This window comes from Homo sapiens, chromosome 21 (assembly GCF_000001405.40).
Source record: "Homo sapiens chromosome 21, GRCh38.p14 Primary Assembly".
NCBI classification, from domain to species: domain Eukaryota; kingdom Metazoa; phylum Chordata; class Mammalia; order Primates; family Hominidae; genus Homo; species Homo sapiens.
Genome location: NC_000021.9, coordinates 34,001,767 through 34,029,186, shown reverse-complemented (window position 1 = coordinate 34,029,186; position 27,420 = coordinate 34,001,767). Strand labels below are relative to the sequence as shown.

Genomic DNA, 27,420 nt, shown 5'->3' with positions numbered 1-27,420 from the left:
CTCACCACTCACTCAGAGTCACCTACAGCAAACTCCAGTCCTGTAAGCTCCATTCATGGCAAGGGCCCTATACAGGTGCACCATTTTTTATCTTTTACACTCTATTTTTAATCTTTTATACCCGATTTTTACTGTACCTTTTCTATGTTTCGCTATGTTTAGATACACAAATACTTACCATTAGGTTACAACTGCCTACAGTGTTCAGTACAGTGTCATGTTGGACAAGTCTGTAGCCTAGGAGCAGTAGGATACACCATACAGCCTAGGAGTGTAGTGCCTTATACCATCTAGGTTTGCGTAAATACATTCTACGATGGTCACACAATGACAGAATCACCTAACAATGCATTTCTCAGGACATGCCTTCATTGTTGGCCAGGCATGGTGGCTCATGCCTGTAATCCCAGCACTTTGGAGGCTGAGGCAGGCGGTTCACTTGAGGCCAGGAGTTTGAGACCAGCTTGGCCCACATGGTGAAACCCCATCTCTACTAAAAATACAAAAATTAGCCGGACGTGGTGGCGGGTGCCTGTAATCCCAGCTACTTGGGAAGCTGAGGCATGAGAATCGCTTGAACCCAGGAGGCGGAGGTTTCAGTGAGCCGAGATCGCACCACTGCACTCCAGCCTGGGTGACAGAGTGAGACACTGTCTCAAAAAAAAATAAAAAAAGAAAGAAAGAAGGAAGGAAGGAAAGAAAGAAAAAACAACAGCAACAAATATCTCTCTTGTTAAGTGACACATGACTGTATTTTCAGAAAATGTTTTCCTCTCCAATGGCTTCCCATCAGCATTTAAATCTGATCAAATCTTTATATGAAAAATAAAATCTCATCAGGGAAATGTGAATCAAAACCACAATAATATATCACCTCACACTGTCAAGATGACTATTGTCAAAAACAGCGGTCCTCAGCCTTTTTGGCACCAGGGACCAGTTTCCTGGAAGACAATCTTTCCACGGACCAGGGTGGAGGATGCTTTGGGGATGATTCAAGCGCATTCCATTTATGGTGCACTTTATTTCTATTATTATTGCATTGTAATATATAATGAAGTAATTATACAACTCAGTATAACGTAGAATCAATGGGAGCCCTGAGCTTGTTTTCCTGCTAGATGGTCTCATCTGGGGGTGATGGGAGACAGTGACGGAGCTTCAGGCATTAGATTCTCATAAGGAGTGCACCACCTAGGTTCCTCGCATGTGCAATTCACAGTAGGGTTCGCCCTCCTAGGAGAATCTAATGCTGATCTGACAGGAGGCAGAGCTGAGGCACTAATGTGAGCAATAGGGAGTGGCTGTAAACACAGATAAAGCTTCACTCGCTTGCCTGCTGCTTAACTCCTGCTATGCAGCCCAGTTCCTAAGAGGCCATGGACTGGTACTGGTCTCTTTCAGAGAAAAGGAAACTCTTGTACACTTGGTGGAAATGTAAATTAGTACAGCCGCTGTGGAGAAATTCCTCAAAAAACTAAAAACAGAACTATTATATGATCCAGCAATCCCACTTCTAGGGATATATCCAAAAGAAATGAAATCAATATCTTGAAGATGCATATGCACCCCCATGTTTATTGCAGTATTATTCACAATAGCCAAGACATGAAATTAAACTAAGTGTCCATCAACAGATAAGTAGATAAAGAACATATGATACATACATGTCACATACGAATACACTGGAATATTATTCAGCCTTAAAAAGAGAAGGAAATCCCAACATTTTGAACAACAGATAAGTCTGGAAGATATTGCGCTAAGTGAAATAAGCCAGACACAGAAGGATAAATATGACATGATCTCACTTACGTCTAAAAAAAAGTGGAACTCATTGCCGGCATGCCCACGCCTGTAATCCCAGCACTTTGGGAGGCCGAGGATCACCTGATGCCAGGAATTCGAGACCAGCCTGACCAACATGGTGAAACCCGGTCTCTACTAAAGATACAAAAATTAGCTGGGCGTGGTGGCATGCACCTGTACTCCCAGCTACTCGGGAGGCTGAGACAGGAGAGTCGCTTGAAACCGGGAGGCGGAGGTAGCAGTGAGCCGACATCGCGTCACTGCACTCCAGCCTGGGTGACAGAGGGAGACTCCGTCTCAAAAACAACCAAAAGAAAAGTGCAACTGATAAAAGCAGAGAGTAGCATGCTGGTTGTCAGGGGCTGAGGGGGCAGTGGGAGAAATGGAGAAATATTGGTCAAAGGGTACAAAGTTCCAGTTATAGAGGAGCAGTGCATTCTGGGGAGCTAATGTGCAGCATAGTGACTATAGTGAGTAATACTGTATTGAATATGCTAAATTTGCTAAGAGAGTTGATCATTAAGTGTTCTCACCACTTAAAAACAGACACAAATAGTAACTATGTAAGGTGATGGATATGTTAATTAGTTACTTAAAATAGGTAGGTAGTTAGAGGGATGGATAGATAGATAGATTATAGATACATAGGTAGGTAGATAGATAGATTAGATAGATAGATAGATAGATAGATATAAATAGAAGATAGATAGATAGATATAAATAGAAGATAGATAGATAGATAGATAGATAGATAGATAGATAGATAGATAGATAGATATAAATAGAAGATAGATAGATAGATAGATATAAATAGAAGATAGATAGATAGATAGATAGATAGATAGATAGATAGATAGATAGATATCGATAGAGGAGAGGGCTGGGCATGGTGGCTCATACCTGTAATCCTAGCACTTTAGGAGGCCGAGGTGGGCAGATTGCCTGAGCTCAGGAGTTTGAGACCAGCCTGGGCAACATGGTGAAACCCCGTCTCTACTAAAATACAAAAAATTAGCTGGGCAAGGTGGTGTGTGCCTGTAATTCCCAGCTACTCACGAGGCTGAGGCATGAGAATTGCTTGAACCCGGGAGGTGGAGAAGGTTGCAGTGAGCTGACATCACACCACTGCACTCCAGCCTGGGAAACAGAGTGAGACTCTGTCTCAAAAAAAAAAAAAAAATCTCAAGATAGATAGATGATAGATAGATAGATAGATAGATAGATAGATAGATAGATAGATAGATGATAGATAGATAGATCATTTGGTAGATCGTTCGATAGATTTCATTGACATCTTCTAGCTACTGTAGACTTCTCTCTCTCCCTGCGTAGCCAGGCTTGGGGAGACTTGCTTAGACCTGGTCTCCATTTCTCCCCCTGTCATTAGCTTTACCACCCTCTCCAGTCTGAGTCTCCCTCACTGCTAGACTGAAGCTAGTTTTACCACGGTTTCTTATGACTTCCTTGTTGCTACATCTGTGGATACTTTCCCTTCCTGTATTAGTTTTGTAGGACTGCTATAACAGATTACCACAAACCAGGTAGCTTGAAACAGCAGAAACATATTGTCTCACAGTTTGGGGGCCAGAAGTCTAAAATCATGGTGTTGACAAGGCCACGCTCCCTCTGAAGGCTCTCGGGAGGGAGACTTCCCTGCCTCTTCCTAGTCCTGGTGGTTGCCCTCCTTCCTTGGCTTTCCTCGGGTTATGGTGGCATCATGCCAAACTCTGCCTCTGTCTTCACATTGCCTTGCTTGTGTCTCCGTGTCCAAATTTCCCTCTTTTTATAAGATTAGGGCCCACCCTAATCTAGCATGACCTCATCTTTACTTGATTATATCTGCAAATTCATGACCTCTAAATGAGGTCACAGGTACCAGAGATTAGAACTTCCACATTTCGTTTTGGGGGACACATTTTAAACCCATAACACTTTTATATCTAACTTGACCTGGCAAGCCCTTCTCTCCTTGCGATACCATCTATTCCTGGTCCTCCTTAGACCCCCTCGAAATCTTTTTCCCACATTCCTTCTTGGGCTTCTCTCCTTCTGTCCATCCTTCTGCCATTAGTGTCTTCTGGGGCTTTTCCTAAGCCTACTCCTTTTCTCTCTTAGCTGGAAAATTCCAAACATCTATGGCTTCAGTTGCCATTTCTAGACTGACTCACACAGAAACGCTCACAAAACATACTCAGCTAAAAGTTCCACACTGAAAACTCATCATCTTCATCCCAAACTTGCTTCTGCTGCTGTCTTCCCCATGTCCATGAATGGACCACCACCCATGAGGTCACTTGAATTGCCTCCACCCGATCACTGAGCTTCCCTCACCTTCATTCCCCACTGCCAATCAACTGTCAGGGCCTGTCCCTTCCAATCCCTTCTAATCCCTCTCCCCATTGCCATAGTCCTAGTTCAGGTCATCATTGTCTTGCTCCTCGACTAGGAAAGAAGCTTCCCCATGGTCTCCCTGTCCCAAGCTGTGTGGAAACTCAGATCTTATCACTTCCATATTAAATACTTCAACTGTCCTTACAACCCTCAGAATAAGGTCCAAGCCCTTGAACTTGGCTTACAAGACCCTTCACCATCTGGCCTTACCTACTTCCCCAGTCTGATCTCTCCATATTCCACCCTCACATGTTAATACTCCAGCCAAACCAAGCCACCTACACTTGGCCTCCTGGTCTTTGCTTATGGTTTTCTGCTCCTGGAATATTATTTCCAGCTCTCCTGGCTGCCCAAATCACACTTACATTTTATATTCATTTATTCCACAAACATATCTTGAGTGCCTGCTATGTGTCATAACCTATCCTAGGCGCAGAGGATGCGGTAGAAAACAAAACAGAAAAATATCTCACTTCATGAGCTTCCACTTTGGTTAAGAGAGACAGACACAAACTATCAGCAAGTGAATACAGGGAGTGCATCAGATAGCGCTAGTGCTTTAAAGAAAAATAAAACAGGAGGGTAAGGGGTTAAGTTTTTAACTAAGCAGTACATGAGAGTCCTCACCGAGGAGATGGCATTTAAGCCTGGCTTGAACATTACTCCCTCCTGGAAGCCTCCTGGAAATTTCCCAAGACCAGGGTAGGCGTCATCTTTATAAACTTCTATGAAGCCTTTATTTACCCATCATAGCACTTACCGCACTTTAAAGGACTTTTGTGTTTGCGTGTGAGTGTCAACTGTAAACTTTGTGAGGACAGAGACTGAGTCTGTTATTTATTGTATATCAACAGCTCCTTGTAGATATATGTTCCTTGAACAAACGGATGCATTGACAGCCTACATTATTTACAAGTTTTATTATACAAAAAATTTATGTAGTATTTATTGTAATGTCCTGTGTTACAAATCACTTTCTCACCCACTGTCTCGTTTGAGAGATGTGGGTCTTATTGTCACCTTTTAACAGACACTCAGAAAAGTTAAGTTTCTTGCCCAGAGTGTCACAATAAAGGCTAAACCCAGCTCAATCACAGCTCTCACATCTTCAGACCCAGAGTGCTTTCTAGAAAAGCCCCCTGCCTTCCTGCATGTTCTAAGAAAACGCAAACCACTAACCCCAGGGCATTAGCCGTCCTCAGCCAATTTTTACTGTTCCTCCCTGAGTTATCATATTCTCATCTCCCCAGAAAACTTCCACCAAATGCTAAAGCCAACATTTAAATCCAAAGGTAAAACCTTCTGGAATTCCTTGATGTAGCCACTGCACAGGCTGGCCTGTGTTCTCATATCAGTTTTCAGAACAATTCTTGCCCTCCTGCAAGTCCACATTTAGCAGATCCACTCAGACAACTACAGAGTGGGGATCAATTGAATTCCTTTCCTAGCTGACACTTTTGAGCTAAGACTGTCTTTTCCATGTGTTAATTTTAAAATGTGGGTTTCATAAAAGCTGCAGGCGGAACAGCAGATGGGGGTCCGTTAGCAATCATTAATATCCTCTATTCGTTGCCTGCCCCCCCAATTGATAAAGTGTCACTCCACTTGGGCAAAAGGGGCCAAAAAGGGAGCGGGGCACAGAAACTCACTGTTCAACAAAAGCCCTCCCATGCAGTGAAGAGCTGGCCCCATCAGAGTGCCTGTGTCTTGCAGGATTTGGAGAAGGGAGCCTCAGCTACCCTCCCTTGAGCGAGGTGAAGTTTGTTGCAGGAGTGATGGGACAGCTCTTGGTAGTTTTCCACTTGCTACTCATGAGTTCTCACCCTGTTTGGCTCTTTGTCACTTGGTCCCATAAAAACACCCACTGCAGGATGCTTGCTCATGCCACCCACCCACCAAATGGCATGTGGCAAAGAGGGTCAGAAGTTCACACACTTCCTCTTTGTTTTCTTGTGTTTCTTTCTGCATAAGCACCTCTCAACAGGCCAAATGGTTGTTGTTGCCACATAGATTTTTGTATTGATGGTTTCCTGCCATCCCCTCATTCTCAAGAGTGGATGGGGGCAGAACAGGGGAGAGTTAACTATTTTGATGAAGAGCAGTTTATAGGATGAATAGGCACAGACAACAAAAGTAAGCCTGGATGCTTTGAAATGAGCTGCTTTGTATTGAAGAGCTTGCTTCTGCCCTGCAATACTTCCTTGCAGTTGAATAGATACTGCAGAGAGTAAACACACTTATCTCTCTCGAGAAAGAAAAAAAATTGTGTTCCCAGGAAGCTGGAAAATTCTCCCATAGGTATAAACATTTAGGAAAAAAGAGATAAGCCGCCTAATTCTAATAACTAGGAATAACCAATTAGGTCATCTGTCCTCACCTCTGTCACTTCTCTCTGAGGCTTGTGGTGTTCAAATTCTGCTACCCTTAACTTTCTAGAAGGAGGGAGAAACACCTCAATTCCTTTCCACTCTTCCGGTTCAGATGGTTCAAACAGCTGGACTTCTTTGACAAAAAAAAAATGACTTTAATCATGATAGAAACATAGTACTTGAAACACAGAACAAACAGAAGAGAAAAACATTTTCTGTGATAGTTTTCTCTTTTGGTTTCTGAAAAGTGAGCAAAATTTTTAATTAAAAAAACCCATAAAATTGCCTTAGGACACTCTCGACACAGATGAGAGAAGACAGTCATTAAAATAAATTACAGAATGGGAAATGGCACCATTACCATTCTCCACTGATTTTTTTTAGAAGTGTCTTTTACCAAAAACCTTTTTGACATTCTAATAAAAGCAAAATGTTTTAAGTTAGGAGTGGCTTTTCAGAGCAATATCCCTTTGCCTCAATGGTTACTAACCAAAATACATGGATAAGATAAATCTGAATAAAAGCAAGAACTAAACCAAACTGAATTAACTTCTTCTCAGCCAGAGGTTAATTTTAAAGCATTAAGCTGAACCATCATTCCTGATGATTGTGGAATGAAGTATTTGGAAGTATACGTTTCATCAACAACTGGGAGACACGGAGTGTGGTTAGGAGAATACCTTGGAATTACACAGTGCTGGGTTCAAACCTGAATTGAGTCATTTCCTAGTTGTGTTCTCTTGAGCAAGTTACCTAGCTTATCTAAACCTGAGTTTCTTCATCCATAAACTGGGAATAATAATAACTGTTTCATCTGTCACAAGGTTGTGAAAAGGATTAAAAGATAATACAAAATGCTTAGAGATACAAAAGGTGTAGTAGGGTGTCTGGTACCTTTTAAGCAAAGCTATTATTACTGTATGGAATATTCAGAAAAACTACTAACTGCTGCACAATGCACACAATTTTTTCCTCATGTGTGCAAGGACTTGAAACTAAAGAATAGAGTTTGGGATCTTCCTACATGGAAGCATGTTAATCATGGTCTCAAAACCAGATTGAACAATATTTGCAGTCAGCTTGCAAACTTTCACAGTATCAGGTCACATGGGATGGTTCTCAGGGTCCCAGGAGAGGGATTGAATTGTGTTGTCCTCAAAATTTATATGTTGAAGCCTCAATCCCCACAGTGAGATTGTATCTGGAGATAGGGCATTTAGGAGATAATTAAGGTTAAATGAGGTCAGAAGGGTGGGGCCCTAACCCAATAGAATTGGTTGCCTTATAAGAGGAGGAAGAGAAATTCCTCTCTCTCTCCCTCACTCCCAACTCCCACCCCAGCCCTGCTATATGCACAAACTAAGGAAAGGCCATGTGAGGACACAGCGAGAAGGCGGCCATCTGCAAGTCAGGAAGAGAGGCCTTACTTGGAAGCCAATCAGCTGGCACCTTCACCTTCCTGCCTCCAGAACTGTGAAAAATGCATGTCTGTTGGTTTAGCCACACAATCTATAGTATCTTCTTACGGCAATCTGAGTTGATTAATACAGAAGGAAAGATATCATTAATTTTACCCCACAACCAGAAAATCGAAAACATGCCTTACTGAGCAGAGAATGCTTCCTCTCTAGAATACCCCTGTCCCACTCTTGAGAGCTGGCCAAATGTACATAAAATTGATGGCTTTATCTGATTTTGAAAGAGAAATACATCAAATCCCAATTTTTTTAAGTTAAGTAACTTTGACAGGGGAAAAAAATTCACCTCCCAATGGAGGGCATAATTTGTACAGTAGTCTGTTGGGGGATACATTTTGTTGCACAATTCAAACCTGTAGCCAGGATTGAGTAAGAAAGCAACTTCAATGATTTTGGAAGAAACTGCCCTAAAACCGGAAGCCTTAGTTCCCTTCTGAAATACATCTCTACAAGTGGTTCACAAGTTTAAAGACAGATGTTATCACCAGTTATTGAAATGATAGTTTCCCCAGGGAAATGGGCACTGCCCCAAGAGAGACAAAAATGTAGACAGAGAATGAATAAATCCTGAAATGTTCTAGTAATTTCTACGACAACACCTCCCCCTTCTTGCCAGCTCTACTCTAAGCAGATGCTGCTGAGCCCTCTGAACCTTAGAAGGGTGGCCTCTGCAGGGTGGAGGCAGAGGCACTGGCTGGGATTCCACAAATTTGCCTTCAAATTCGTTTATTTGCTTAACGGCTATTCATCAAGGACCTGTCATGCATTACAGGAGAGTAGTGAGGAACTGAGTCTAAAGCCAGACTGTGAGATCAAGTCCTGCTGTGCCGTTTACCACGGCCAGGTGGCCTTGGGCAAGTCAGTCCATCTTCCTAGGCCTTGATTTCCCAAGACAGATGGGCAGACTGGGAACAGCACTTGCATGTCATCACAACCCTGTGTGTGCTTGTGGTTATCACAGCTGCTCCCTGCCCCAAGGGTCTATTCCTGGTACTGGCATCAGCTACCCCTTTTCTGATATTCTGTAGCTCTGTGACCTTCAGCAAAACATTTAACTTGCATTTGCTTTCATTTCCTCATCTGCAAAATGGAAATGACAGTGCCTGCCTCACTGGATTATAGGAGCATTCAGTGAAACATATATGCAAAGTGCATGATATAAAATGGTTGCACAGGAATGTTTTTCTTATTAATACGGATTAATTGTTTTTTTGCTTCCATCTTCACCCCATACCCTTTTATTATATTTACATAGAGAGTCCTTCTCAGCCCTTGGCCATGGACAAATCCTGAGAATGCTCCTGGTGAAAGAGGCAGCTGTGTTTCTTCCATGTGAACTTTCTCTCATTGGTCATGTGGGGTCAGGGTCTTGCCCACACAGCATGTAGTGGAAGTTGAAGTAGTTATCTAAATCAGGGGTCAGCAAAGTTTTGCTGTAAAAGGCCAGATAGTAGATATGTTTGCCCTTGCAGGTCACACAGTCACTGTCACAGCTATTCAACTCTGCCGATGTGTGAAAGCAGCCTTGTACAATCCACAAATGCATGAGGATAGCTGTGTTCCAATAAAACTTTATATACAAAACAGGCAATGGGCCAGATTTGGTCTGTGATCTGCACTTTGCTCACCTCTGATCCAGATTCATCCATTCAACAAATATACTGCATGCCTTATATGTAACAGGCACCATTCTGGATGCTAGGAATATAGCTGTAAATGAAATAAAGCCCTCACCATAATGGAGTTCACATTATGTTATAAAGGTATTAATATTGGTTATTGTCTATTTCTCACACTGAAGACAGCAAGTGGAGACAGTTTTTCAAAAAGGGAGTAATCATTTGGGTGAAATGCTGCTGAAGTTTGGGTAAACCAAGGACTCAGAACTGGCCATTGCATTTGGCAACAAAAGAGTCACTGGTGACCTTGATGAGTGCACTTTCAGAACAGTGAGGACAGGCCAGGTGTGTGGCTGTAAAGGGAAGCACAGCAGTGAGAAGGGAGCAGGGAGGGGCTCAGCCTCAAGGGAGAAGGTTGTTGTGTTGTTAAGATGGAGAGGTTAGAGCTCATTTGCATAGAGAATGATCCAGAAGAAAGGTACAGTTGTATGTCATGATACAGGAGAGAGAGAAGTGGTTTTCCAGAGTGGCAAGAGGACACGGTCCCAGTGCCCTGGTGAAGTGCTCTCCTCTGCAAGGAGCAGGTCCAGTTCATCCCTGGGAACAGGAAGGAAGGCAGGGCCAAGGGGCAGAGATTCAGTTCTGAGAGAATAAATCAGTTCTCCTCCAATTGCTTCTATTTTCTCACTACAATCAATGAGAAGCAATATCATCAGATGGGAATGAGAAAGGGAAGGAGTTCTAAGGAGAGATGAGAACATTTGAAACAGCCATCTCAGAGGTAAGAAATTTTCCTACTAGGACCCTTGGTCAGCCTCTGGCCAGCCTTCAAAATGGGCTCTTTGTGTTGGATGTCCATTTTGGGTGCAACCGAGTCAAGGGATGGCCATGGAACATGCATTACAGCCTGTCCTCTCTGCATAACTGCCTAATTCTCCTTAGCCAGTAAGGAGGGCTATATGTTGAGTCAGATAGTTTTCCTACAATGATCTGTAGCCATAGACCCCTAGAAGGGGCAGAGAGAGGGAATACCAGTCTGAGGGTAGGCCTGGCCAGATCCACTTAGCATCAGATGACCTTGATTTTTCACATGACAATGAAGTCCAGCAGCTGTATAATATTCAGTGTCCAAGACACAGTGCTGCCAAATCATGCCCTAGTTTTGGTTTTGTTTTTGCTTTTTGAGACAAGACCTCACTCTGTCACCAAGGCTGGAGTGCAGTGGTACAATCTCGGCTTACTGTAACCTCTGCCTTCTGGGCTCAAGAGATTCTCCTGCCTTAGCCTCCTGAGTAGCTGGGCTTAGAGGTTCCCACCACCACATCCAGCTAATTTTTGTATTTTTAGTAGAGATAAGGTTTCACCATGTTGGCCAGGCTGGTCTCAAACTCCTGACCTCAAGTGATCCTCCTGCCTCGGCCTCCCAAAGTGCTGGGATTACCAGGCATGAGCCACCACACCCAGCCTGTGCCCTAGTTTTAAAACTTCTTGTACATAACTGCGCACCCTCTATCTGTATTGGAAGGCAACTTCAGTTTCGCTCTACCATCTACATCTAGTCAGTTGTTGGTATGTGTCAGGCACTGAGCTAATTAGCTCTTAAAATATATCAACTTATCCTTAAAACAACCCAGTGGTTAGTACTGTTGTTGATTCCATCTTACAAATGAAGCATCTGAGAAATGTGAGGCAGTATGTCCAAGGTCACATAGCTCAACATATCAGTAGGTCTGCCAGACCTCAAAGTCCATACTCTCAACCACTAGTGTAGACTGAAAATACCTCTGATTCAGTTAGATGTTGGGTTTGACTGCAAGTAACAGAAACTCCCAAAATATTAACTTACACAAATTAGGGGCTTTGCTTTTCTCATGTAAAGGGCTGCTGTGGTAAGCCATTCAGGATTGGTATGGCAGCTGCACAACAGTGTCTATAACTGATGTTTCTTCTAGCTATTTGTTTCCCTGCTTAGTTTGTGCCTTCGTGCTCACAGTCACCGCATGACTACAAAATGGCGACTCTGCCTCCAGCATTGCATCAGCATTCCAGGGAGAAGAAATGGGACAACAGATGATGAAAGGTGCGTGCCAATTTATTCCCCTGACACCAACATTTTTTTTTTTTTCTGTCTTCTTTTAAAGAGCTTTCCTGGAAGCCCCACCCTGTAACATCTGCTTACTTCTCATTAGCCAGAATTGCCAAAGGTCTCCCCTGACTACAAGGAATCTGAGAAATGTACAATCTTAGCTGAGCTTATTGCCACCCTAAAGAAAATTGACATTCTGCCACCCCTCCCTTTTTTTCCTAGCAACCCCCTTGACAAAATTGCTGAAGCAATATGGGACTTTTTAAGATTACAAGAGCCACGTGGTTAATATTACTGGAATGTTTTCATGAGTGTGAAATGCAGTTGTCACAGAGAAGCTTCTACTCATCATCTTAAGGCAAACACCAAAGTTCTTCAGAACAACTGATTCCCCCTACAAGGAGAAATATCCAAGGCCTTCATCCACCAGAACAGTCAAATCATTGAAATTTATCAGGCCTCGTGCAGTGGCTCACGCCTGTAATCCCAGCACTTTGGGACACCGAGGTGGGTGGATCACTTGAGGTCAGGAGTTCAAGACCAGCCTGGCCAACAGGGTGAAACCCCGTCTCTATTAAAAATACAAAAATTAGCTGGATGTGGTGGCGCATGCCTGTAGTCCCAGCTACGTGGGAGGCTGAGGCAGGAGAATCACTTGAACCTGGGAGTCGGAGGTTGCACTGAGCTGAGATCACGCCACTGCACTCCATCCTGGGTGACAAGAGTGAAACTGTCTCAAAAAGAAAAAAAGAAGGCCAGGCACGTGGCTCATCCCTGTAATCCCAGCACTTTGGGAGGCCAAGGTGGGCGGATCATCTGAGGTCAGGAGTTCGAGACCAGCCTGGCCAACATGGTGAAACCCCATCTCTACTAAAAATACAAAAATTAGCTGGGTGTGGTAGCACATGCCTGTAATCCCAGCTACTCGGGAGGCTGAGGTAGAAGAATCACTTGAACCCAGGAGGCAGAGGCTCCAGTGAGCCGAGATTACGCCAGTGCACTCCAGCCTAGGAGACAGAGCGAGACTCCATCTCATCAAAAAAAAAAAAAAAAAATTTCTTCCAGTGTCCCAGGACATTCCCCCAAGTATCTGGAATTTCACAAAGAGGGCCAGATACAATTCTATCCAGAATTCATTGCTATACTTGGAAGCTAGAAAGACCCCTCTTTACTATGGAGAACAGATGATAGAACTTATGCTTCTAATAAAACAAGATGCTCTTCAATCAGCATGCTCATGTGTCCAGGGAGCTGACCCCAGTGTGTTGGTAGTAAGGCTTAATAGCAAGAAGAGATCATGGGAAAGTCAAGGACAACCAGATCTGACAGTATACCTGGGAAAGGGCTCTAGTTGCTGTCCGTCAGGATATTAATTCAAATGCCCAAACAGTGATTGTTCATCAAAGGGCATTCTGACCTTCCCTAATTCCATTTTTTCAAAAGACATTTTTAGAGTAATTTTGGGTTCGCAGAAAAATTGATCAGCAAGTACAGAGAGAGCCTGTGTATCCCCACATGCCCTCACCATTTTCCCCTATTATTAATACTTTGCACTTATGTGGTACATCTGTTTCCATTGATGACACAATATCGATACATTATTATTAACTAAAGTCCATAGCCTACATTAGGGTTCCCTCTTTGTGTTGTACATGCGGTGGGGTTTGAGAATGTCTAATAACATGTATCCACCATCACAGTATCCTGCAGAATAGTTTCACTACCTCTAAAAATCCTCTGTGTTCCTCCTTTTTATAGTTTGGATTTGTGTCTCCACCCAAATCTCACGTTGAAATGTAATCCCCAGTGTTAGAGATGGGGACTGGTGGGGGGTGATTGGATCATGGGGTTGGATTTCTCATGAATGGTTTAGCAGTGTTCTCTTGGTACTGTCCTTGAAGTAATGAATGAGTTCTCACAAGAACTGGTTATTTAAAAGTGTGTGGTGGGCTGGGCGCGGTGGCTCACACCTGTAATCCCAGGACTATGGGAGGCCGAGGCAGGCGGATCACGAGGTCAGGAGATCGAGACCATCCTGGCTAACACGGTGAAACCCCATCTCTACTAAAGATACAAAAAATTAGCCGGGCGTGGTGGCACATGCCTGTAGTCCTAGCTACTCGGGAGGCTGAGGCAGGAGAATTGGTTGAACCTGGGAGGCGGAGGTCGCAGTGAGCTGAGATCGTGCCACTACACTCCAGCCTGGGTGACAGAGCAAGACTCCATCTCAAGAAAAAAAAAGTGTGTAGCACCTCCCCCTTCTCTCTCTCTTGCTCCTGCTCCTGCCATGTGAGACACCTGCTCCCCCTTCATCTTCCCCCATGACTGGAAGCTTCCTGAGGTCTCCCCAGAAGCAGATGCTTGTGTTATGCTTCCTGTACAGCCTGCTGAGCCATGACCCAATTAAACCTCTTTTCTTTATAAATTACCCAGTCTCAGGTATTCCTTTATAGCAGTGTGAGAAGAGACTAATACACACTTATTCATCCCTCCCTCCTTCTGAACCACTGGTGACCACTGATCTTTTTACTGTCTCCATCATTTTGCCTTTTCCAGAATGTCTTATATTTGGAGTCATATAGTATGTAGCCTTTTCAGATGGGCTTCTTTCACTTAACAATGTGCATGACAGTTCCTCTGCGTCTTTTCATGGCTCAATAGCTCTTTTTTATTGCTGAATAATATTCCACCATCTGGATATAGCACAGTTTGTTTATTCATTCGCCTATTGAAGGACATCTTGGTTGCTTCTAAATTTTGGCAATGAAAAATAAAGCTACTATAAACATGAACACAAATTTTCAACTCCTTTGGGTAAGTACCAATGAGTGTCATTGCTGGACCACATGGCAAGAATATGTTTAGTTTTGTAAGAAACTGCCAAACTGTCTTCCAAAGTGACACTGCCATGTTGCATTCCTGCCAGCAGTCAATGATAGTTCCAGTTACTCCACATCATCATAAGCATTTGGTGTTGTCAGGGTTTTGGATACTTTTTTTTTTTTTTGGAGACAGAGTCTTACTCTGTCACTCAGGCTGGAGTATAGTGGTGCAATCTCGGCTCACTGCAACCTCTGCCTCCCCGGTCCAAGCAATTCTCTTGCCTCAGCCTCCCTAGTAGCTGGGATTACAGATGTGCACCACCAAACCTGGCTAATTTTTGTATTTCTAGTAGAGATGGGGTTTCATCTTGTTGGCCAGGCTGGTCTCGAACTCCTGACCTCAAGTGATCTGCTCACCTCGGCCTCCATTCAACAACTATTTACTGCAAACCTACTTAATGGCATATGCAAGAGAAAGTCAATCTCTACCTCAAAGTCCTTAGAGTTTCAAATGTCTTTAGGATTCCAATGGAAAGTTGTGGACAATCCTGCAGCCTTTGGATCAATTGTTCTTGATATGGTTTGGCTGTGTCCCCACCCAAAGCTCATCTTGAATTGCAGCACCCCTAATTCCCACATGTTATGGGAGGGACCCAGTGGGAGATAATTGAATCACAGGGGCGGTTCCCCAATACCGTTCTCGTGATAGTGAGTAAGTCGCACGAGATCTGATGATTTTATAAGGGGTTTCCCCTTTCGCTTGGCTCCCATTTTCCTCTTGCCTGCTGCCATGTAAGACATGCCTTTTGCCTTCCACCATGATTATGAGGCCTCCCCAGCCAAGTGGAACTGTGAGTCCATTAAATCTCTTTTTCTTTATAAATTACCCAGTCTCAGGTAGGTCTTTATCAGCAGTGTGAAAACGGACTAATACAGTTCTTAAACTTTAGCTGGCATCCTAGTCACTCACCTGGAGTGTTTATTAAAACATAGATTGCAGTGGGCAGGAAAGAGGAGTGATGCCCAGCCCCAGAGTTCCTAATTAAGTAGATCTGGGATGGAACCCAAGAAGTTGTGTTTCTAACAAGTTCCCAGGTGACACTGCTGCTGCTGGTCCAGGGACCACACTTTGAGAATCACTGGCCTAGATGCTTCTCAAGTGAAGGAAAAACACCAATGGGGATAGTCATGCCCTCCCTCGGGTATTGGAAAAACCAATGGAAAAGCCATTCTATCTCAGGGCTGTAGGGCTGCCCCTCACCTAGTGTGTTAGGAAAGTTCATGACATCCATGCTTTGCCTGCTCCATAAAGAAGCTCTCAACCCTCTCTGAAGCAGCTCAGTTTAAGTCCTGTTTTCTTTCCAGAACAGAAAGCCCTGTGTTAAGCATATTTTCACCCTCTGAGGGAGCAGCTCTGTGGTTGGGTACCCTAGCAAGAGGACCCCTTCTTAATGTCAAGCAGGTTTTGATGGCAGAAACTATGTTAATGCATTTTGATGAGCACAAATTGTGACGACTGCATTTTGTTTTTGTAGCAGATGCCATACCTCCTGGTACTAGAGCTTGTGTTGAGCCACCAAATGCTAGGTGACCCCTAGGTCCTGATTGCTGACGGTTTACTTCTCAAGAGAAATGTCATCCGCAGGACAGACCTGTCTTTGACCCCAGGCATCAGCTCACTCCACAGCTACTTCCTTGACTCTGCCTTTACCACCCGTGTTAATTATATCCTCTTCTCCAACTCTGTCCTAGGAATCAGCTGGTACTCCAAAGTTAATTATATCCCAAGAGGAACACTGACTGTTGTCACCTTGTTGCTCACCAGCATTTGCTGTGCCTGGCTCTGCAGACACTGGGCTGGACATTCCACAAGTCCTCCCTTTCATCTTCACCAGGGCTTCTGGAGGGGCTTCCTTTTAGCATCACTGCCCCCCATTTAAGGATGAGGAAACTGAGGTTCAGTGCAGTTAAGACACTTGTTCCATCACATGGCTACTAAGTGGCAGAGCTAGGATTCAAACTCGGGTCAGCCTTATATTACAGACTCTGGAAGGGTAGATCTGAGCAGAGCTACCAAGACATGGACCTTGAGGATAGGAGATAAAGTCTAGAATCAGGAGCAAAGTCTCTTTCCACCTTTAAATACTCTGTAAGCTCTATTCATAGCTTGCAGGCAGCCCTCTTCTTGGACCATGGAGTAATAGAGTTAGTTGCACCTCATTTTTCTTGCCTGCCCCAGAGTCTTGCCCAAAATCGGGACTCAGAAAATGTGTATATTTAGTAAATGAATGGATAGATTAAAAGTGGCCAGGCTGCCTCCACGCATGGTGGCTCACACCTGTAATACCAGAACTTCAGGAAGCTGAGATGGGAGGATGGCTTAAGCTCAGGAGTTCAAGACCAGCCTGGGCAACATGGAGAAACCCTGTCTCTACAAAAAAAATACAAAAATTAGCCAGGTGTAGTGGTACACACTTGTGGTCCCAGCTACTCAGGAGGCTGAAGTGGAAGAATGGCTTGAGCCCAGGAGGCGGAGGTTGTGGTGAGGCGAGATAGCACCACCACACTCCAGCTTGGGCAACAGAGCGAAATCTTGTCTCAAAAAAAAAAAGGGGGGGGGGCCAGGTTGGACACATTTAGCACCTAGATCTTGGTTTCTAAAATGATTCTTTAGCAATGGCTTATCCAGGGCTCCCTGGAGAAATGGCTGATTCTAAGACTGGGGCATTTTGTAGTGCCAAAGTAATGACATGCTAAACAACTAAGCATACCAAAAAACCACAATGATGGGGAGTGTGTCAAATGAACAAAGGAGCCAACTGAAAGAACTCCTACTGACCAAAGCAGGAACCATTTGAGCAAAAACAAATAAATAAAGTACTATTGAATGATAACCCCAAATAGAAAATAAGTATTCATGAGTCCAATACTAATATAAATAAATGACCAAATATTTAAATAATAAATCGGGAAGAATAGACCAATCTCTAGTGCAGAGGAATTCCAAATAAATCATGTAGATATTTGCTCCTCAAAAAAGTAGAGCATCACTCAAAATGACTTCCTTCCAGCCAGGTGTGGTGGCTAATGCCTATAATCTGAGCACTTTGGGAGGCCGAGGCAGGCAGATCACCTGAGGTCAGGAGTTTGAGACCAGCCTGGACAACATGGTGAAACCCTGTCTCTACTAAAAATACAAAAATTAACTGGGCATGGTAACAGGTACGTGTAATCCCAGCTACTCAGGAGGCTGAGGCAGCAGAATTGCTTGAACCCAGGAGGCAGAGGTTGCAGTGAGCCGAGATCATACCACTGCACTCCAGCCTGGGCGACAGAACGAGACTCTGTCTCAAAAAAAAAGGCTTCCTTCCAAAGAGTACAGCATGGAAGGGATGGAGGAAGAGGAGCTTTGCACTAGATAAGTCTGACGGGCACTACCTCAGCCAGGTCATCAAGGTCAACATCAACAGTGATGAATCGTGTAGGTGTTATGTGGTGTGGCCTTCTTAGTGGCTGTCAAAGGCCTTCCAGTTGCATTTCTAATCCCCATTCCTTGACATGATTTACTGAAAATGACACTTCACCTCTCTGGTCTTCCCATAACTCCATAACCCCAGTCTAATCAACAGAAAAACATCAAACAAATCTCATCTCTGCATTCTAACAAATAGGTGACAGTGTTCCTTGGAACTGTCAAGGTCACCAAAGACCAAGAAAGTCTGAGAAACTGTCACAACCAAAAGGAGCCTAAAGAGGCATGATTAAAGGTAATGTGGTGTCCCCAGTGGGATCCTAAAACAGAAAACAGTACATAAACGACATTAGGAAAACCTGAAGAAAATACGAATCAAGTGTGGAATTTAGTTAATAATAATGTACCTGGCTCATTAATTGTGACAAATGGACTCTACTTACATAAGATGTTAATAACAGGAAACAGTGGATGTGAGGCCTATGGGAACTCTCTCTACTATGCTTGCAATTCTTCTGTAAATCGAAAATTGCTTTGAAATTAAATTTTTATTTTTTATTTTATATTTTTATTTTTTTATTTTTTTTTAAAGGCCAGATCATACCATTAAGTAAGTGACATTCCAGATTGATTACTGTCTGTATTGGTTGGGGAGGCAGTATAGAAAATGGAAAACAAAGCTATTTACGGTTCTCACCATGAGCTGTGTTTCCATAACAGATGCATTTTATAGATGGATTGTTATTCTAATAATAAGTACTATATTTTCTTGCCTATATTAGGTCATTATATCCTCTAAAGAGTATAAGTTAGTACAACTCTCCATAGGCAGAGGCTCTTCCTTGAGAAGAACCAATATGAGTTCATGAAGAGTCTTCAACTCAGTTTCCCAAGAACATCCTAGAGGAGAATTAACGAAAGGTGTGGCCCTCTTAGTGGCCGTCAAAGGCCTTCCAGTTGCATTTCTAACCCCCAGCAGAACCACAGCACTGCCCCAGGTAGTCAAGCACGGTGGTTTCTGATAAAGGTCTGCCCGTGACTTATCTGTGGTTTTCTTAACTTTCAATTTTTATTTTTTCAATTTTTTAATTATTTATTTATTTATTTTTTGAGACAAAGTCTCCCTCTGTCACCCAGCCTGGAGTACAGTGGCATAATCACAGTTCACAGCAGCCTCCAACTCCTGGGCTCAAGGGATCCTCCCACCTCAGCCTCCCAAGTATCTGGGGCCACAGGTGTACGCCACCACACCCAGTGATATATCTGTGTTTTAAAGGTCATGGATTATCACCCTCAAGCAATAAAATGGTTCAGATGAAAGCATGCCATGAAGTAGGTGCGTGAGGTGATGGCCAGAATTCCACTAGTTCAATGACTCCCACCTTTGTCAGCCAGGAGTCGGTCCTGCCGTATTCCTTACGGACCACTGAGCCAGTCAGATCCAGTGCTTCTTCCCCTGTGCTGGTCAGTGGGGCTGACCCATGCAGATGGTGTTTTCCTGGCTTCCAGGTGAGTTTGGCTAAGCGGGGCATTGTCAGGAGATTAAGAGTGGGAAGAAAGGAGAAGCCAGAGGATCTCTCCCCTTCTCTCTCTACCTCACCAGGTATCTCAGCCACTCCTGCAGATCCCATGTGACTCCAGTTCTTCCCAGACATGCCCACCGTGGGTGCTGAGTAACCCAGCTCCTGGCTCTGGCAACCTCCCCTCCTTTTGACTCGCAAGCCTAGAAACATAGTGGCTTCCTGCTGTTACCAACTTCTGGGTTCCTCCACTGCCCTTTGTTTGGCCTCTCAGAACTTTTATCACCCACTGAACCAATTCTTTGTAGCAAATGAAACCGCCTTTGCAAAATTATGACTGAGACAGTGAAAGAGATCTAACTCAATCAACTCCATCTTGCTTCTAACCTTCAAGCTGTCCTTGTTCATTCCTGGGTGTAGGCTGAATGAACTTTGGGAGAAACTCAGTTTATAGTTTATAGTTTAAAACAAAGATGATAACAGCCCTTTCTCAAAGCAGACCTCCTCCTTGCCTGGGGACTAGACTGCCTTTGTAGGACTAACATTAGCCACGAGATTAGAAAAAATTATTTAGGAGTCATGCAGCTGGAGGTTACAAGATTCTGACCCTCCCTAAACCACTCCTAAAATCAGTGCTTCAGATATTTTGCAGACTCTGCACTTGATGGATCAGCCGGCACCATCCAGACTGATAAGCTGGCTCATCTGATCCTGTGGCCCCTGCCCAGGTTACTGACTCAGTGCAAAAAGATAGCTTTGACTCCCTATGATTTCATCTGTGACCAATCAGCACTCCTGGTTCACTAGCCTCCCACGCCCCCACTCACCAAGATGTCCTTAAAAGCTCTGCTCCACGAATGCTTGGAGAGACTGATTTGAGTAATAATAAAACTCTGGTCTCCCGCATAGCTGACTCTGCGTGAATCACTCTTTCTCTATTGCAATTCCCCTGTCTTGATAAATAGGCTCTGTCTAGGCAGCTGGCAAGGAGAACCCCTTGGGCAGTTACATAAATACCGTCTGTTGGCCAAAGCGGTGGTTCATGCCTGCAACCTCAACACTTTGGGAGGCCGAGATGGAAGGATCACTTGAGCCCAGGAGTTCAAGACCAGGCTGGGCAACATAGCGATATCCTCCTTAAAAAATAAAATAAAAATTAGCCATGTGTGGTGGTGCCTGCCTGTAATCCCAGCTACTCAGGATGCTGAGGCAGGAGGAGCACCTGAACCCAAGACTTTAAGGCTGCAGTGAGCTGTGATTATGCCACTGCATTCCAACCTGGAGGACAGAACAAGACCCTATCTCTAAGTAAATACATTAAATTAAATTAAATACTCTCTGTTTCACCTGAGACATAGCAGAGTGTTTTCTAATACCCTCTTTTAAAATACTTAGAGTAGATTTCAATTTCCTTGTTAAACTCTGCTGTCTTTTTTTTTTTTTTTTTTTTTTTTTTTGAGACGGAGTCTTGCTCTGTCTCCCAGGCTGGAGTGCAATGTCACAATCTTGGCTCACTGCAACCTCCACCGCCCGGGTTCAAGCGATTCTCCCACCTCAGCTTCCCAAGCAGGTTGGGATTACAGGTACCCATCATCACGCCTGGCTAATTTTTGTATTTTTCTAGAGATGGGTTTCACCATGTTGGCCAGGCTGGTCTTGAACTCCTGACCTCAGGTGATCTGCCCATCTCGGCCTCCCAAAGTGCTGGGATTACAGGTGTGAGCCACCGTGCCTGGCCTCTGCAATGTCTTAAGACCTGATTTTTTTTCATTCTCCTACACACACACACAAACACACACACACACACACATTTTGAAAGCACTTTGCAATTGTCTTCCTGATTTCACGTCATAGTAGTTAATGTTGCTTAGGAACATGGGAGTTGAACAAGGTGGACCTTACCACTATGATTGAGCCAGGAAGTTGTAAGAGGACCTGGGAGAATGATCTAGAGGCATAGATGAACTCTAAATGAACTTCTGGCCTAACAACCACAGCAAAATCATTAGATGCATCTCCTCTAAAACTAACAAAAGTTTTGGCTACACACTTTTAAACTCTCTATGGTCACAGAATGAAGGAAGCAACATTTTCCTTTGGGTACTATGATGTCTCAGTGGGGGTCACCCTGGTATTTCTAGATTTACCAGGCAAACTAAAAAGAGACCCCGTTATGGATAAAAGATTCCATTGTTCATAAGAAGAAACATGTTCTGACTTTGGTTTAGCACTGGCATCTTCATAGGGTCCTGTTGACTTTATATTGTCCCTGGATGGAACAGTTTTGGGGATTTTAGAGAAGCGTTTTGTAGTGATTTAGGAATATTTGGAATATTTAGGAATATTTGGTTAAAGGTCCATTTGTTACTTGGCGGGTGGCTCATTTGCTTTCATTGCTGTCTAATGTAATAGACTTCACCTAAGTTAACCAGATAACCATAAAGTTTTAAACTAGGAAGTTTAAATTGTCCTAAAATAAGCAATTTAGATCCACCCAAATTTGTGAGAAGATGAACAAAGCTCTATTCAACTCTTGCTGTGTAGATCTAACGTCATTGTCCTTTAGGCAGCAAATGTCGTTCTAGATTTGTATACAGTGTAAATTCTGAAAACCACATACTTTGAGGACCAGGACACTCAGACTCTCTTAGGTGATAATGTGTGCATGAATTCGCATGTGAATACACAAGTACATATGAATCCTGTTCTGTAAGATGCTGAACAGTAAGTTCCACTGAATTGCTTTCTTATCACTCAAAAACTGTTTGGCTTCAAAGAAATGAGATATTCAACCAAATGATTTTATTGCTTTTCTTTTGCTTTTATCAACATGTTGCAATCACATGTAACTGAAGGACAAATTCTTCCCCAGAAGATACACAGAAACAACTTCTTAGAAATACTATTCTTAGGCAGATAATGACAAGTAACTGCAAAAGGACGAGATACACGTATCAATCTGCAAAAGCGAAGGCTTAAAGTAGTCCCTGTCTTTTGTGGTTCAAAGTTTCACTACCACAGACACACAATTAAATAAGTTCACATGGATGTGAGCAAAAGAAACCAATCTTATTGTCCATCACAGCTTGCTTTAATGGCTTTAAAATATATGAAGGGGGCCAGGTGTGGTGGCTCACACCTGTAATCCCAGCCCTTTGGGAGGCTGAGGTGGGCAGATCACTTGAGGTCAGGAGTTCAAGACCAGCCTGGCCAACATGGTGAAATCCCATCTCTACCAAAAATACAAAAATTAGCTGGGTGTGGTGGCTCATGCCTGTAATCCCAGCTACTCAGGAGGCTGAGACAAGAGAATGGCTTGAACCCAGGAGGCAGAGGTTGCAGTGAGCCAAGATAGCGCCATTGCACTCCAGCCTGGGAGACAGAGCAAGACTCCATCTCAAAAACAAACAAACAACAACAATTTTATATATATGTATGTGGTTTTTTACATCCAATGGCTCACAAACTTTGGGGTATATCAGGATTTCCTGGAGCTTGGTACAGTGAAAATTCTTAGCTCTAGTTCCCACGTATTTGGTAGGTGGTTTGGTCAGAAATTTGTAATTGAAACACGTCCCCTGATTCTGATGTAGGAGGGTCTCCAGACCATGCTTTGAAAAATGCTGGATGACACACTACTCAGGAGAAGACAGAGCCCCAACCCTAATATATAATATATTTTTACCTTAAAGCAAATGTCATTTTTAATTGGACAGGTGCCACCAGTTCTACAGTAGTTGGGTTCACTGCTTGAGGGCAGACATCCTACCACAGGGAAAAAATGTTTCTTTTTGTTCGTTTGTTCATTTGTTTTTGTTTTTGAGATGGAGTCTTGCTCTGTTGCCGAGGCTGGGGTGCAGTGGTTCGATCTTGGCTCACTGCAGCCAAGATCGGATCAATTGATTCCCCTGCCTTAGCCTCCTGAGTAGCTGAGATTACAGGTGCCCACCACCACACTCACTGCAACCTCCGCCTCCCGGGTTCAAGCAATTCTCCTGCCTCAGCCTCCCGAGTAGCTGGGATTACAGGTGATGCCTGGCGAATTTTTGTATTTGTGGGTAGAGATGGGAGTTTCACCATGTTGGCCAGGCTGGTCTCGAACTCCTGACCTCAGGTGATCCACCCGCCTCAGCCTCCCAAAGTGCTGAGATTACAGGCGTAAGCCACCATGCCCAGCCAAAAAAATGTTTCTTCTTTGGTCAATACACAGAAGCCCCTCAATACCTCTGCTTGTGTTAAACTCTTGGGGGACATCTGAAGCACATCTTGCACTTTTATTCCGGGTGCTCTTTTCCAAGGAGGGAAAGGTCATTTGAAGAACAAATCACTCGCCTGTCTCAGCCAGGGTCCCTGAGGAGATCCAGCCAGTGTTTTTCAGAGCCTGGCACTCTGCCCAGGGCTTAGAGGCACCTTTTGACTTGGTGCTCTGGACAAGATTTGACAATCTGGGCCAAATCTGGAATGGGTTTCCGAAAGCCAATATTGGAGCACTTGCGATTGAGACCTGCCAAATAATGTGTCAGGAATGTCCAGTTCCTTTCCCATGCAGAGTGGCAGTGTTTAATGAAAAAACACAGCTCCGAAAAATGAGATGTTTTGTGCATTATCCATATTCATTAAAACTGGAACCCAACCCCAGAAAATACAGATGCCTTCTGTCATCAACACCTCACCTTTTTTCCTGTGGTTACTTAATACAAATGTCACAGAAGCTATTCTATAAGGACATGTCACGTGGCAGCATCTGCAGGCCAGTGTCCCTTTTCTTCTTGTCCAGCCTGATGCTAGGCAGTGGGAGGGGAGGTATGGGGGTGGTGAATTAAACAAAATCTTTAAAAACAAGACTCTGGCTCTGACTTCCACTGCACAGATTACCAAGCGGATAGGCATTTTATTTTGCTAAATGAAAGGGCTAGTTTATATCTTCCCTGGATCATTTTCTAACCTAACTGCAGTGGAAACATTCTCAGAAAGAAAGGCTTTCTTGTTTGTTTGCCCTTTATATAGCCGCTGGTCATCCCACTTGGAGAATTTGGGCAGTAACCTGCTGCTTCTGCTTGGGGCCAGGCCAGCTAGCAAACTCTTCTATGAGTTGGCCAACACAGCGTTTTGTCAGATGATCACAGCCAGCTCAGAAGCCCTCAGTGGCACCATGTTGAAAGGTAGACCACATTTCAAGCCCATCTTTGGTGGATGGAAATGGCTCATCTCACTGGCTCCTCTAGGCAGGGAACCACATCTGACCCAAATTGTCTACATTCCACAGACTGGTCTTTTTGTATGTTTGGGGTTTTGTTCTTTCTGTCAAGCATATAGCAGGAATTTTCCTCTGGAAGGAAGCCATGAAAAGATGGCTTCCCCAAAACGGTAGGAAATCCCTGTAGGATGGTTAATTTTAATGTGTCAACTTGACTGGGCTAAGGGATGCCCAGATAGCTGGTAAAAGATTATTCCTGGGTGTGTCTATGAGGGTGTTTCTGGAAAAGATGAGCGTTTGAATTGGTCGGCTGAGCAAAGAAGAGAGCCCTCAGCAGTGTGTGTAGGCCTCATCCCATCCATTGAGGGCCTGAATAGAACACAATGGCAGAGGAAGGGTGAATTTGTTTTCTCATCTTCAACTGGGACATTCATTTTTTCCTGCCCTTGAACTTTGGAGCTCCTGGTTCTCGAGCCTTTAGAGTCTGGAACTGACGCCAGTATCCTCCCACCACCTCCATTCCCAGGACTGAATTACACCACCAGCTTTCCTGGGTCTCCAGCTTTCAGATGGTAGATCAGATTGTGGGACTTCTCAGCCTCCATAATAATGTGAGCCAATTCTGGCGATGGATTGACTGACTGATTGACAGACAGAGAGACAGATAGATAGAGAATGGATAGACAGATAAATAGTTGATGGATGACAGATGATAGATTGATAGTTAATAAATAGATGATTAATAGATAAATAGATGATAGATAGATAATAGATGGCAAACAAATAGTTGATAGATGAGAGATGATAGTTGATAAATAGATGATGAATAGATAGATAGATGATAGATTAGATGATAGATAGATAGATAGATAGATAGATAGATAGATGATAGATAGATAGATGATAGATAGATAGATAGATAGATAGGAGAGAGAGAGAGAGATGACAGGCAGATAGATCCTATTAGTTCTGTTTCTCTGGAAACCCCTGATTAATACACCCTGCAACTGGTCCCTAGTAAGATCTTCTCTTGCAACCAAACCCCACAGTTTGCTTCTCACAAAATAAAGATAAGGCGATGGGGCTTAGCCAGCGTCCGCCTCTCCTGAGATCTGACAAAGCCCGAGCGCTAATTTTCCCCCTTTCCTCACTTTCTCCTTCCTCCCCTGGCTGCCATTTTGTGGCAGAAGCAGACCTACACTGCAAAGCATTTGAATCTCAGTTCTTCTTCTAAACCAGTTAGCAAGTTTCTAAGCCATTCTGGGCCTCCTTTCCTCAGTTGATGAAACAGTCATGGAGAATACTTCAAAGCATTTAGGGGTGAATTCAGTGAGACGAAGAACAAGAAGGGACCTGAAAGGATGGCAGCTCTCCCTTTTGGTTGTGTCTTTTTTCTTTGACAAGGGGAATCACTCGGGGATGGGAAGGAAGCGGCGTTGCTCACATGGAACTCAGAAAATCTCTTCATTAGTGAAATTTGAGGCTGTTCTCATTCTAGCCACAGCTGTAGTGATGCTGAAGTCATTTGTCTCAGAGGTCTGCCTCTCCCACTCTGAGCGCTGCACAGCCCTTCCAGGCAGTGGCTTTCAGGACAAAGACGATGAAACCATTTTCTGCGTAGTGAAACACAGACATGGTTCTCCCTTAAGTGATCTAATCTCACAGGGACATTCTTTATGTACATTTTGAATGTAAATGAAAAGTAACCTTTAAAATCATCATGTTAGGGTTTCACAGATGGGACTTTAAGCAGTCCATGATACCCCTGGGAACTGCATGAGTGTTCGTGGGTCTTGGTTATATAGTAAACTTCCAAAGACAGCCTCTACAGATGCATTGTTCAGTCAATACATAATGTGAGCCACATAGTTCATTTAAAGTTCTCTGGTAGCCACATTTAAAAATTAACAAAATTAGGCTAGGCCTGCTGTAATCCCAACATTCTGGGAGGCCGAGGTGGGAGGATCGCTTGAGCCCAGAAATTCAAGACCAGCCTGGGCAACATGGCGAAACTCCATCTCTCCAAAAAAATACACACAAAAAATAAACTTAGCCGGGTTCGGTTGCACACACCTGTGGTCCCAGCTACCTAGGAGGCTTAGGTGGGAGGATCTCTTCAGCTCAGGAGGTTGAGGTTGCAGTGAGCCAGGATCACGCCACTGCACTTCAGCCTAGGCCACAGAGTAAGACCTAGTCTCCAAAAAAAAAAATTACTTTAAGTAATATATTCAATTTAACCCAAAAGATCAAAAATATATTCAATATAAGAGATTTACTTTTTTTTTTTTTTTTTTTTTACTAAATTCACAGTTTAGTGTGTATTTTACCCTCACAGCACATCTCAATTCCAGTTAGCCCCATTTCGGCTGCATGTGGCTAGTGGCTACTATGACAAAGAGTGCACGTTTATAGCTTTTGTCAGCTTTTGATAACAAGTAGCATCATGACATTATAGAGGATAGTGAGAGATCATAGTACCAATAACAGTTCAAAAGTCTCCTTAGGAGCTCACAAAAAGCTTTCAGGTAGATTATCTCACTGTATTCTCATTTTTAAAAACTCACAAAGTGGACATGGCAGATGTCATTTCCTCATATGAGAACTGAAAAAAACTAAAGCTTAAAAAAAGTAAATAGGCCAGGTGCAGTGGCTCACAC

General features: G+C 43.6%; 2 long non-coding RNA genes across 4 annotated transcripts in view, besides 3 other annotated features; one reads left to right on the top strand and one right to left on the bottom strand.

The window, feature by feature from the left end:
- Positions 1 to 27,420, bottom strand: part of LOC105372790 (uncharacterized) — a 69,113-nt gene that overhangs the window by 22,762 nt on the left and 18,931 nt on the right. The gene's annotated exons all lie outside the window — the stretch shown is intronic.
- Positions 8,527 to 8,706: an enhancer, noted in NCBI's record as "active region_18391". NCBI's record gives its function as "activates an Ori minimal core promoter by ATAC-STARR-seq in GM12878 lymphoblastoid cells {active_cell/tissue: GM12878}" and the evidence as "EXISTENCE:reporter gene assay evidence [ECO:0000049][PMID:35858748]".
- On the top strand, positions 10,151 to 13,242 carry LOC105372789 (uncharacterized). 2 transcript variants are annotated; one of them, XR_937678.4, is made up of 3 exons: positions 10,151 to 10,447; positions 11,619 to 11,746; positions 11,975 to 13,242. It is a non-coding gene; the product is annotated as an uncharacterized LOC105372789 (long non-coding RNA). The 2 variants fall into 2 exon arrangements; XR_937679.4 differs by having other exon boundaries at positions 10,171 to 10,447; positions 11,639 to 11,746.
- Positions 10,180 to 10,339: an enhancer, noted in NCBI's record as "active region_18390". NCBI's record gives its function as "activates an Ori minimal core promoter by ATAC-STARR-seq in GM12878 lymphoblastoid cells {active_cell/tissue: GM12878}" and the evidence as "EXISTENCE:reporter gene assay evidence [ECO:0000049][PMID:35858748]".
- Positions 10,737 to 10,926: an enhancer, noted in NCBI's record as "active region_18389". NCBI's record gives its function as "activates an Ori minimal core promoter by ATAC-STARR-seq in GM12878 lymphoblastoid cells {active_cell/tissue: GM12878}" and the evidence as "EXISTENCE:reporter gene assay evidence [ECO:0000049][PMID:35858748]".